The 13,747-nt window shown below is 41.2% G+C and overlaps 1 protein-coding gene and 1 long non-coding RNA gene across 6 annotated transcripts in view; one reads left to right on the top strand and one right to left on the bottom strand.

Annotated features, from left to right (window-relative positions):
• HMGXB4 (HMG-box containing 4) overlaps positions 1-4,620 on the bottom strand; it is a 54,272-nt gene extending 49,652 nt beyond the window's left edge. Inside the window, exon 1 of the mRNA XM_047441067.1 lies at positions 4,496-4,620. The gene's annotated coding sequence lies outside the window, so the exon portion shown is untranslated. The remainder of the gene's footprint in view (positions 1-4,495) is intronic.
• LOC105373017 (uncharacterized) overlaps positions 1-13,513 on the top strand; it is a 28,883-nt gene extending 15,370 nt beyond the window's left edge. For all 5 annotated transcript variants that reach the window (XR_938210.3, XR_007068086.1, XR_007068085.1 and 2 more), the window contains one exon: positions 13,265-13,513. This is a non-coding gene — a long non-coding RNA (uncharacterized LOC105373017). The remainder of the gene's footprint in view (positions 1-13,264) is intronic.
• The last annotated feature ends 234 nt before the right edge of the window (positions 13,514-13,747 follow it).

Here is a 13,747-nt window from a genome sequence, read left to right as displayed (position 1 = left end):
CTCCTGCACCCCCTTCCCATCCCAGGTGGTGTCAGGGAAGGTCAAGAGGAAGCTGGGGCTTTCGTCCCCTTGCATAGTAATGAGGCCCCACTCTCACCCAGCCACAGTGACAGTGGAGATTATGTGGGGAGCTGCACCCAGCAGTAATTAGCCACCCCTCCCTGTTCTGGTTGGGGTGGTGTCAGAGGAGGCCAAGGAGAGAGTCAGGACTGCCACCACTGCCTGGAAGTAATGAGGTCCCCCTGGACCTGGTGTCAGTGGGACCCTGTGGGGATCAATAACAAGGCACTCCTGCCTCTCCCACCCAGGAGAGAGCAGCAGAAGCCTAGCAGAGGGCCGAAGCTCCCACTCTTGGGCAGCAGTAATGAGGAACCCCCCTCTGGTGTCAATGGTGGCAACCTGGACTTCTACCCCCAGCTAGCAGTAATGAGGCGGCAAACCCCTCTTTGCCCTGCTAGAGTGGTATCAGAAAAAGGTAACTAAACTGAAGGTTTAAGTAAGATCTAGAGTCTCCTAACATAATACCCCAAATGTGCAGATTTCAATCAAAAGGCACTCATCCTACCAAGAACCAGGAAGATCTCCAACAGAATGAAAGAAGACAATTGATAGATACCAACAGCAAGATGACAGAGACGTTACATTTATCTGTTGAAGATATTAAAGCAGCCATCATAAAGATACTTCAGTGAGCAATTATGAACGTGATTTAAAAAAAGAAAAAAATTCTTAAGAGGGCTGTAGGCAGTAAAATAAAAAACAATAATATAAATACAAAATATTATAAAAAGAGAAAAAAGATAGTCTCAGCCAAAAAAAAAAAAAATAGAAAGTTTCATAAAATAAGAGAAAAAGAAATAAATAATATATAGAAGAGCTAACAAAAAACCCAATGGATGAGCTCAACGGCAGAATGGAGGTGGAGCAGAGGAGGCGGAGGGACAAGTGAACTTGAAGACGGAATATTAGAAAATAACCAATATGGGCCGGGTGCAGTGGCTCACAGCTGTAGTCCCCGCATTTTGGGAGGCCAAGGTGGGTGGATCACGAGGTCAGGAGTTTGAGACCAGCCTGGCCAACATGGTGAAACCCCGTCTCTACTAAAAATACAAAAAGTTAGCCGGGCGTGGTGGCGGGCACCTGTAATCCCAGCTACTCGGGAGGCTGAGGCAGGAGAATCGCCTTGTTTGAAATGTTTGTTCCCCAGTGCTGTAAAGAAACTGTACTTGAACATAAATTTAATGTTCTCAGTAAGGCCATTTTTATACTTTTTATAGAAAGGGTACAGTTGCCAGCAGTTTTGTTACGAGAGTATACTGAACAAAGGAGACAGGGTCATTTATAACCTGATGCCTGACGTGTTTACCCTGCTGCTGTGTTCAGTTTCCATTGGCCGGAACGGGACCTCATATTTTGTATTTGTCCTGATTGGCTAGCAACTTAGAACTTTTAAAAGGGGCAAAGGCAGAGGAGAACAAAGAAAGGAGGAAGTAACCTGTGGAATGCTGGGAAAGGTAAAAACACCTTTAAATAAGGAAGAGGAACAGGCTATGACCCAATGCTTGTTTGGACCAGTATAAGTATGCCAGGGCAAATATTTAGGCTAAACTGTGGGAGCTAAGAACATAAAGTTCATTGATTTATTACAGCTAGCAGATATTTAAGAATGTTAGCACAGGTCTTTGAATAAATTTTGTTTTTAAGGGAAGTTACTATTTATTCTTAATTAGATGGGGAGGAATTTTTTGAAGAGAAAACTCTATTTTACGAGGAGGCAGAGGTTGCAGTGAGCCGAGATCACGCCATTGTACTCCAGCCTGGGCGACAGAGCAAGACTCCGTCTCAAAAAAAAAAAAAAGAAAAAAGAAAAAGAAATTAACCAATATGAACAATAGAAAAAAAATAGACTGAAAATAAAATGATCAGGGTCTCAGGAATTCATGGGACTACAACAAAAGATCCAACATTCCTATCATGAGTCCTAGAGAGAGGAAATAAAAGGGCAGGGCTGGAAAAGTATATGAAGAAATAATTGCTGAAAATTCCCAAATTTGGCAAAAGACATAAGCTTAAATATTCAAGAAGGTGAACAAATCTCAAAATAGATAAACCCAAAGAAATTCATTCCAAGACACATCATAACTAAACTTTTGAAAACTAAATACAAAAAAAACCTTGAAAGCAGCCAGGGAAAAATGTTTATCTTATACAAGAGAAACAACCTGAATGGGAAAAAAATTTCTCATCAGAAATCATGGAGGCCAGAAGGAAGTGGAGCAATATTTTTCAGGTGCATTAAGGAAAGAACTGTTGGCCAGGCATGGTGGCTCACACCTGTAATGCCAGCACTTTGGGAGGCCAAGGTGGGTGGTTCACTTGAGGCCAGGACTTTGAGACCAGCCTGGACAACATGGTGAAACCCTGTCTCTACTAAAAATACAAAAATTAGCCGGGCGTGGTGGCATATGCCTGTAATCCCAGCAACTTGGGAGGCCCAGCCACAAGAATTGCTTAAACCCCGGAGGTGGAGGTTGCAGTGAGCCGAGATCACACCACTGCACTCCAGCCTGGGTGGAGTGAGACAGAGTGAGACCCTGTCTCAATAACAACAACAACAACAACAATAAAAAAAGAAACAAACAAAAAAAACTCTTAAATATCTGTGACAGTTCATTTACTTACCAACTTGACTAAGGGATGCCCAGATAGCTGGTAAAGTGTTATTTCTGGGTGTGTCTGTGAATGTGTTTCTGGAAAGGATCAGCATTTCTTTTTTATTTTCTTTTAGACTGAGTTTCTTTCTTGTCACACAGGCTGGAGTGCAATGGCGTGATCTCGGCTCACTGCAACCTCCACCTCCTAGGTTCAAGCAATGCTCCTGCCTCAGCCTCCCAAGTAGTTGGGATTACTGGTGTGCGCCACCACACCTGGCTAATTTTGTATTTTTAGTAGAGACAGGGTTTCACCATGTTGGCCAGGCTGGTCTCGAACTCTGGACCTCAGGTGATCCACCCGCCTTGGCATCCCAAAGTGCTGGAATTACAAGCGTGAGCCACCGCGCCTGGCCCCATACATTCTTTTCAAGTGCCAACAGAATATATGCCAAGATGGACTACATTCTGGGCCATAAAACAAATCTCAACAAATTTAAAAGAAATCATACAGAGACAATTTTGTTCACAGACAAAAATGGAATCAAACTAGAAATTAATAATAGAAAGATAATAGTAAAATCTCCATACACTTGAAAACTAAGCAACACACTTCTGTAGAGTCTTTGAGTCAAAGAGGAAGTCTGAAAAAGATGAACAAGTACCTTAAACTGAATGAAAATGAAAACACAACATATCAAAATTTATGGGACACAGCTAAAGGCGGGCCGAGAGGGAAATATATAACACTAAATGAATACATTAGAAAAGAGGTCTAAATCAATAATTGAAGCTCCCATCTCAAGAACCTGGATAAAGAAGAGAAAACTAAATCCAAGGCAGAAGGAATAAAATAATACAAATAAGAGGCAAAATCAGTGAAGCTGGAAACAGGAAAACAATGGAGAAAATCAGTGAAGCAAAGGGCTAGTTCCTTGATAAGATCAGAGAGAGAGAGAGAGAGAGAGAGAGAGCAGATTACTATTATCAGTAATGAAACAGGAGATATCACTACAGACCTTGCAGACACCAAAAGAATAATAAGGGAGTATTTTGAACAACTCTACACACATAAATTTGACAACCTAGATGAAATAAATCAATTCTTCAAAAAACACCAACTATTTAATACCACAAATAGATCTTTTTACTAGCCCTATAGCTATTAAGGAAATCAAAATTATAATTTAAATTTAGCAGCCTAGATGAAATGGATCAATTCTTCAAAAAACACACACTATCACAAATAGATCTTTTTACTAGCCCTACAAACTATTAAGGAAACCAAAATTATAATTTGAAATTTCTCAAAAATTAAGTCTCCATGCCCAGATGATTTTGCCAGAGAATTCTCCTAAATGTTTAAAGAAGAATTTTAAAAACTCTATAAAATATCTTCCAGAAAACAGAAGAGAACACTTTCAAGTCTATTTTATGAAGCTAGTATTACCCCGAGAGCAAAACCAGAGAAGACAGTATAAAAAAGGAATCTACAGATTAATATCCCTTGTGAATATAGGCACAAACATCCTTAGTAAAATATTAGCAAGACCAGGGATCATGGCGGATGGGAGGCAGGACTAGGTTGCAGCTCCGGACAGAGCAGCGTGCTGAGGCTTGCATTGTGAATTTTAGCCCCAGGTCGACTGCAAGAACAAACCAGCAATCCTGAGAGGACCCACAGACCCTCTGAAGGAAGTGGACTGCTCCTGCAGGACCCAGGAGACACCCCAAATACTGTGAGTGCCCCAACTGCAGAAGTGGGAAAGGGAGACCCCCCTCTCCCGAACACACGCCCCCAGTGGAGAAGCTGAAGGTCTGTTTGAGGAAGTTCTTGACTTTACCTGGAGCTGAGTCAAGTTAGAGAGCTGAGCTGAGCGAAATACAGGGGTAGAGGAAGCAGCAGGGAGGCCCTGGGAGCTCAGTGGATCCCGAAGCAGCCCATTCCTGCCTGGCACCACCGGGATCCATCAGGAGGGTGGCCAGAGGAGCAGGGGGTAAAACTCCACAGGGACAAGGACTTTTCTAGATGAACTTTGTAACAATTTGAACGGGGCGAGAAGCCTGGGCCAGAACTTGGGGGAGGGCACGAATCTGGCTTGCAGACTTCTCAGGCGGGGGAAGAACTAAAGCCCTTTTCTTTCCCAGCTGGGAGGCAGAAAGCCTTGGGCAAGTCTTCAAGCTCAACTTGCCCTCCACCTGGAAACATATTTGGGGCTGTTGCGGGGGTCAAGGTGGAAGTGAGACTGACCCTTGGGTTTGCATGGGAGTTGGATAAGGCCTGTGACTGGCTTTTCCCCTCTTCCCTGACAACCTGCATGACTCAGCAGAGGCAGCCATAATCCTCCTAGGTACACAACTCCAGTGACCTGGGAATCTCACCCCCATCCCCTGTAGCAGCCACGGCAAGATCTGCCCAAGGGGAGTCTGAGCTCATACACGCCTAGCCTTGCCCCCACCTGATAGTCCTTCCCTACCCAACCTGGTAGCTGTAGACAAAGTGTGCCCAGAATTGGTTCCTTCCAGTGGGTTCTTGGTCTCGCTGACTTCAAGAATGAAGCCACGAACCCTCGCAGTGAGTGTTAACAGTTCTTAAAGATGGTGTGTCCAGAGTTTGTTCCTTCAGATGTTCAGATGTGTCTGGAGTTTCTTCCTTCTGGTGGGTTCGTGGTCTCACTGACTTCAGGAGTGAAGCCACAGACCTTTGCAGTGAGTGTTAACAGTTCTTAAAGATGGTGTGTCCAGAGTTTGTTCCTTCAGATGTTCAGATGTGTCTGGAGTTTCTTCCTTCTGGTGGGTTTGTGGTCTCACTGACTTCAGGAGTGAAGCCACAGACCTTTGCAGTGAGTGTTACAGCTCATAAAGGTAGTGCAGACCCAAAGAGTGAGCAGCAGCAAGATGTATTGTGAAGAGAGAAAGAACAAAGCTTCCACAGCATGGAAGGGGACCTGAGCGGGTTGCCACTGTTGGTTCGGTGGCCAGCTTTTATTCCCTTATTTGGCCCTGCCCACGTCCTGCTGATTGGTCCATTTTACCGAGTGCTGATTGGTGCGTTTACAAACCTTTAGCTAGACACAGAGCACTGATTGGTGTGTTTATAATCCTTTAGCTAGACAGAAAAGTTCTCCAAGTCCCCACCCGACCCAGAAGCCCAGCCGGCTTCACCTCTCAAAATGACATATAATCTTGGGAGTTCTAGGGCCCTGCCCACCACCAGTCCCTCTCCACACTACTATAGCTGATGCTTTCTGGAAAGTACCACCTCCTGGCAGGAGGCCAACCAGCACAAAAATAGATCATTAAACCATCAAAGCTAAGGACCCCCGCAGAGTCCATTGCACCTTCTGCCACCTCCACTGGAACAGGTGCTAGTATACATGGCTGAGAGACCCATAGATGGTTCACATCACAGGACTCTGTGCAGACAGCCCTCAGTCCCAGCCTAGAGCTGGGTAGACTCGCTAGGTGGCTAGACCCAGAAGAGAGGCAGCAATCACTGCAGTTCAGCTTACAGGAAGCCACATGCACAGGAAAAGTGGGAGAGTACTACATCAAGGGAACACCCCATGGGACAAAAAAGTCTGAGCAACAGCCTTCAGCCCTAGACCTTCCCTCTGACAGAGCCTACCCAAATGAGAAGGAACCAGAAAACCAACCCTGGTAATATGACAAAACAAGGCTCATCGACACCCCCCACTAAAATCACACTAGTTCACCAGCAATGGATCCAAACCAAGAGGAAATCCCTGATTTATCTGAAAAACAATTCAGGAAGTTAGCTATTAAGCTAATCGGGGAGGGACCAGAGAAAGGCAAAGCCCAATGCAAGGAAATCTAAAAAGTGATACAAGAAGTGAAGGGAGAAATATTCAAGGAAATAGATAGCCTAAAGAAAAAAACAGTAAAAAAATCAGGAAACTTTGGACATACTTTTAGAAATGCAAAATGCTCTAGAAAGTCTCAGCAATATAACTGAACAAGTAGAAGAAAGAAATTCAGAGCTTGAAGACAAGGTCTTCAAATTAACCCAATCCAACAAAGACAAAGAAAAAATAATAAGAAAATATGAACAAAGCCTCCAAGAAGTCTGGGATTGTGTTAAAGGACCAAACCTAAGAATAATCAGTGTTCCTGAGGATGAAGACAATTCTAAAAGCTTGGAAAACATATTTGGGGGAATAATCAAGGAAAACTTCCCTGGCCTTGCTAGAGACCTAGACATGCAAATACAAGAAGCACAAAGAACACCTGGGAAATTCATCACAAAAAGATCTTCGCCTAGGCACATTGTCATCAGATTATCCCAAGTTAAGACAAAGGAAAGAATCTTAAGAGCTGTGAGACAGAAGCACCGGGTAACTTATAAAGGAAAACCTGTCAGATAAACAGCAGATTTTTCAGCAGAAACTCTACAAGGTAGAAGGGATTGGGGCCCTATCTTCAGCCTTCTTAAACAAATTATCAGCCAAGAATTTTGTATCCAGTGAAACTAAGTATCATATATGAAGGACAGATACAGTCATTTTCAGACAAACAAATGCTGAGAGAATTCATCATAACCAAACCACCACTACAAGAACTGCTAAAAGGAGCTCTAAATCTTGAAACAAATCCTGGAAACACATCAAAACAGAACCTCTTTAAAGCATAAATCACACAGGACCTATAAAACAAAAATAGAAGTTTAAAAAGCACAACCGAAAAACAAACCCAAAGTATGCAGGCAACAAAGAGCATGATGCATGCAATGGTACCTCATATTTCAATACTAACATTGAATGTAAATGGCCTAAATACTCCACTTAAAAGATACAGAACCACAGAATGGATAAGAACTCACCAATTAACTATCTGCTGCCTTTAGGAGACTCACGTAACTCATAAGGACTCACGTAAACTTAAAGTAAAGGGGTGGAAAAAGGCATTTCATGCGAATGGACACCAAAAGCAAGCAGGAGTGGCTATTCTTATATCAGACAAAACAAACTTTAAAGCAACAGCGGTTAAAAGAGACAAAGAGGACATTATATAATGGTAAAAGGCCTTGTCCAACAGGAAAATATCACAATCCTATATGTATATGCATCTAACACTAGAGGTCCCAAATTTATAAAACAATTATTAATAGACCTAAGAAATGAGGTAGATAACAATACAATAAAAGTGGGGAATTTCAGTACTCCACTGACAGCACTAGATAGGTCATCAAGATAGAAAGTCAATAAAGAAACAATGGATTTAAACTATATCTTGGAACAAATGGATGTAACAGACATATACAGAACATGTCATCCAACAACTGCAGAATACACATTCTATTCAACAGCACATAGAACTTTCTCCAAGTTAGGCCATATGATAGGCCATAAAATGAGCCTCAGTAAATTTAAGAAAATTGAAATTATATCAAGCACTGTCTCAGACCACAGTGGAATAAAACTGTAAATCAAATCCAAAAGGAACCTTCAAAACCATGCAAATACATGGAAATTAAATAACCTGCTCCTGAATGAGCATTGGGTCAAAAACAAAATAAAAATGGAAATTTAAAACTTCTTCGAACTGAATGACAGTGATGACACAACCTATCAAAACCTCTGGGATACGGCTAAGGCAGTGCTAAGAGGAAAGTTCATAGCCCTAAATGCCTACATCAAAAAGTCTGAAAGAGCACAAAGAGACAATCTAAGGTCACACCTCAAGGAACTAGAGAAACAAGAAAAAACCAAACCCAAACCCAGCAGAAGAAAGGAAATAACCAAGATCAGAGCAGAACTAAATGAAATTGAAACAAACAAAAAATACAAAAGAGAAATGAAACAAAAAGCTGATTCTTTGAAAAGATAAATAAAATTGATAGACCATTAGCAAGATTACCTAAGAAAAGAAGAGAGAAAATCCAAATAACCTCACTGAGAAACGAAACAGGAGATATTACAACTGACACCACAGAAATACAAAAGATCATTCAAGGCTACTATGAACACCTTTACATGCATAAACTAGAAAATCTAGAAGGGATGGATAAATTCCTGGAGAAATACAACCCTCTTAGCTTAAATCAGGAAAAATTAGATACCCTGAACAGCCAATAACAAGCAGCAAGATTGAAACAGTAATTAAAAAATTACCAACAAAAAGAAGTCCAGGACCAGGTGGATTCACAGCAGAATTCTACCAGACATTCAAAGAAGAATTGATACCAATCCTTTTGATACCATTTCACAAGACAGAGAAAGAAGGGACCCTCCCTAATTCATTCTATGCAGCCAGCATCACCCTAGTACCAAAATCAAGAAAAGACACAACCAAAAAAGAAAACTACAGACTGAGATCCTTGATTGACATAGATGCTAGAATCCTTAACAAAATACTAGCTAACTGAATCTAACAACATATCAAAAAGATAATCCACTGTGATCAAGTGGGTTTCATACCAGGGATGCAGGGATGGTTTAACATATGCAAGTCAATAAATGTGATACACCACATTAACAGAATTAAAAACAAAAATCACATGATCATCTCAACAGATGCAGAAAAAGCATTCAACAAAATCCAGCATCCCTTTATGATTAAAACCCTCAGCAAAATCGGCATGCAAAGGCTTAATGTAATAAAAGCCATCTATGACAAACCCACAGCCAACATAATACTGAATAGGGAAAAGTTGAAAGCATTCCCTCTGAGAACAGGAACAAGACAAGGATGCCCACCTTCACCACTCCTCTTCAACATAGTACTGGAAGTCCTAGCCAGAGCAATTGGACAAGAGAAAGAAATAAAGGGCATCCAGATTGGTAAGGAGGAAGTCAAACTGTTGCTGTTTGCTAACGATATCATCAGTTACCTTGAAAACCCTAAGGGCTCCTCCAGAAAGCTCCTAGAACTGATGAAAGAATTCAGCAAAGTTTCCAATACAAGATTAATGTACACAAATCAGTAGCTCTTCTATACACCAACAGCGACCAAGCAGAGAATCAAATCAAGAACTCAACCCCTTTTACAATAGCTGAAAAGAAAGAATAAAATACTTAGGAATGAAAGACCTCTACAAGGAAAACTACACAACACTGCTGAAATAAATCATAGATAACACAAACAAATGGAAACATATCCCATGCTCATGGATGGGTAGAATCAATATTGTGAAAATGATCATACTGCCAAAAGCAATCTACAAATTCAACACAATCCCCATCAAAATACCACCATCATTCTTCACAGAGTTAGAAAAAAAATTCTAAAATTCATATGGAACCAAAAAGAGCCCACATAGCCAAAGCAAGACTAAGCAAAAAGAACAAATCTGGAGGCATCACACTACCTGATTTCAAACTATACTGTAAGGCCATAGTCACCAAAACAGTGGGGTACTTGTGCAAAAATAGGCACATAGACCAATGGAACAGAATAGAGAACCCAGAAATAAACCCAAATACTTACAGCCAACTGATCTTTGACAAAGCAAACAAGAACCTAAAGTTGGAAAAGGACAGACTTTTCAACAAATTGTGCTGGGATCATTGGCAAGCCACATGTAGGAGAATGAAACTGGATACTCATCTCCCACCTTATACAAAAATCAACTCAAGATGGATTAAGGACTTAAACCTAAGACCTGAAACTATAAAAATTCTAGAAGATACTTCAATAAAGGTGTCAAAATGTCAAAAAAGGGACTCAGATTAAATTTCTAGAGATGAAAGCTACAATGCCTGACATGAAAAATGCACTAAATGGAATTAATAGCCATTTAGACACTGAAGAAGAAAAGTTTTTTTTTTTTAGATATAGCAATAGAAACCATCCAAAATGAAACATAGAAGAAAGACCCCTAAATGAAGAATTTTAGTGAGCTGTGGGACAATTTTAATTTTAACGTAAATGTAATTTGAGTACCTGGATGAGGAGAAAGACTTGAGTGTGTAGTTGCTTCATGGCGTCAATGGTGTACTTAAGTGTGCTTTTGTGGTGGCTGGTAATAGTTTTTCGTTTCCATATTTAGCCCTCCCTTAAGGATCTCTTGTAAGGCAGGTCTGATGGTAACCTAGGAAATACCATTCTAGACATAAGCCCTGGCAAAGATTCCATGACAAAGACACCTAAAGCAATTGCAATAAAACCAAAAATGGATAAATGGAAGCTAATTAAACTAAAGGGCTTCTGCATAACCTACAGAATAGGAGAAAATATTTGCAAACTATGCATCCAACAAGGGTCTAATAACCAGAATCTATAAGGAACTTAAACAAATTAACAAGCGAAAACCAAACAACCCCATTAAAAAATGGGCAAAGGACATGAACAGACAGTTTTCAAAAGAAGATGTAACACACAGCCAACAAGCATATGAAAAAATGCTCAATATCATTAATCATTAGAGAAATGCAAATCAAAACCACAGTGAGATACTATCTCACACCCGTCAGAATGACTAATTAAAAAGCCAAAAACTAACAGATGCTGGCAAGGTTGCAGAGAAAAGGGAATGCTTATACACTGCTGGTGGGAGCGTAAATTAGTTCAGCCACTGTGGAAAGCAATTTGGAGATTTCTCAAAGAACTTAAAACAGAACTACCATTTGACGCAGCAATCTCATTACTGGGTATATACCTGTAGGAGTATAAATCATTCTACTATAAAGGTACATGTACGTATATGTTCATTACAGCATTCATTATCACAATAGCAAAGACGTGGAATCAACTTAGGTGCCCATCAATGGTAAATTGGATAAAGAAAATGTAGTACGTTTATACCATGGAATACTACACAGCCACAAAAATAACAAAATCATGTTTTTTTGCAGCAGCAGCATGGATGGAGCAAGAGGTCATTATCCTGAGAAAATCAACACAGGAACAGAAAACCAAATGCCGCATGTTCTCACTTACAAGTGGGAGCTAAACAATGAGTGCACATGGACTCAAAGAAGGGAACAGTAGACACTGGGGCCTATTTGAAGGTGTAGGGTAGGAAGAGGGTGAGGATCAAATAACTACCTATTGTGTACTATGCTTATTACCTGGGTGATGAAGTAATCTGTACACCAAACCCCTGTGACACACAATTTACCCATGTAACAATCATGCACATGTACCCTAAACCTAAAATAAAAGTTGGAAGGAAAAATAGAGAACGAATACTAAAAAAAATTTGCAGAAATAATGGGTCAAAAATTTCCAAACCCTCAAACGTAAAAACTGCATCAAGGTATATCATAATCTAATTGCTTAAAACCAATGATGAAGAGAAAATCTCAAAAAGCAGCCACAGTAAAAAGATCTATGTGTAGAAAAGAGTGAAGACTGCTGTCCTTAGAAAAGGCTACTTGTGGGTTTGGTCCTTGGCTGGTGTCTGGGAACTTGGATTCCAAGAGACAAGTTTTGTTTCCCTCTTTCCTTCTGTCTGAAGGCTGATAACTCTATTGCAATGACCAAGGATTCAGGGAATGTTAATTCTGAAGTTCTCCATTCCCTGGACCCAAGCACAGTCTCTCCTATAGAAGCCTGTTCAAATGGCAACAGCTCTGAGCCCTCACTTAATTTACTCAGAAGGGGTCCAGCTTTCTCTAGTTCCCCAAATTTTCCCAGGTGCCCAGAGGTTCTTGCGCAGTCTCAGGATTTGGCTTTCATTCTGCCTCTCCTTGCCTGAAGAACCCTTCCCTGATGACCTTGTGATTTTCAGAATATCTGCAGTGATATGGCTCCAGCAGAGCTGCCCACCTCCTGTGAGCACAGCTTCACCTTCCTCAGCTCTTTGCTTATGCTTAGTCAGGGGAGTCACCTGGCAAGCACATGATCACATGACAAACATGGTCCCCAAGTGTCCCAGGAGCTCTTCAGTGATGAGTTCCTTGAGGATGGACACCATATCTTGTCTCCAAGGCATGACCACAGTGCCAGGTGGCTGGACCATGAATGGGTTATGATGGATCAGAATTCTCTGAGGACAGAATTCTCAGGGTTGATTCCTGGTTACTTGTCCAGGCTCCTATCATCATGCCCCTTAATTCCCAGCTATCCATCCCAGGGCAAACTTCCTCCCAGGGTCTGTCCTGTCCTTTCAGCAATTGGGCTCCAGTTGAGGCTACCCCAGTCCATAAGGTGTATTTTAATAATTTAAACTTCAGAGGGGAGGGATCAGAGTTCTCTTCCCTCTTCTCTTTGGAGGAACTTATCATATGTAAAACTACGGTTGCAAATAAATAAGTAAAAAGCAAATGGTGTGATGAGGGAGGGTTGATATCCCATTACTTTCCTGCTGGTCTTTCAATTCCAGTTGCTTGCTTAGGGTCAGCTGTTTGTAAATGCTTGTTGAATGAATAAAATAGAGGAGGTTAAGATGATTAGGCTCTGTGTCTCCACCCAAATCTCATCTTGACCTGTACCCCCCAGGTGTTGAGGGAGGAATCTGGTCGGATTGAAAGGAGGTAACAGTGGAATGCCATGCACGATCTCGGATTTTCTTTTGGGTAGATGACATTATTGGGACAAGTTGGTAAAATCTAAATAAGGTTTGCAGGGTAGATAATAGTATTGAATTTATGCCAAATTCCTGATTTTGATAAGTGAATTGCAGTTATATAAGGGAATGTCCTTCTTTTTAGGAACTATGTACTGAAGATTTGGGGGCAAAAGAGGACCACATCTGCAACTAACTGGAGATGGTTCAGAAGATGATGCACACACACTCAAGCATATCGAGAGAGAAAGGGGCAGAGGACACAGAAGGCCCTGAGTTTAATGTGCATGTTTTGGGGAATTTGGAAGAAGAGCCCCTGATAATTCATCCTTCATTATTCTTGCAACTTTTCTCTAAATCTGAAATTATATTAAAATATAAAGTTAGAAGAAAACATGAAGAGTACTCACTTAGTATTCATTCATCTCACACCGACATTGTACCCTCTCCAGACATTGATCCATGAAGTGACTTTTCCTGTGATGGGCCATGAGCCAGGGATGTGCTGGGGGGAATGGGGAGATGAATAAACTCCCACCTCACTCTTTAGGGGTCTGTGGAATGGTGGATGAGACAGACACACCTTGTCTCTACCCTGCACCGTGTAACTGGGCCTTGCGTGGTCCTT

The sequence above is a fragment of the Homo sapiens genome, chromosome 22 (assembly GCF_000001405.40).
Source record: "Homo sapiens chromosome 22, GRCh38.p14 Primary Assembly".
Classification (NCBI taxonomy): Eukaryota; Metazoa; Chordata; class Mammalia; order Primates; family Hominidae; genus Homo; species Homo sapiens.
The sequence above is the reverse complement of the archived record's forward strand: the minus strand, read 5'-3'. Positions and strand labels throughout refer to the sequence as shown.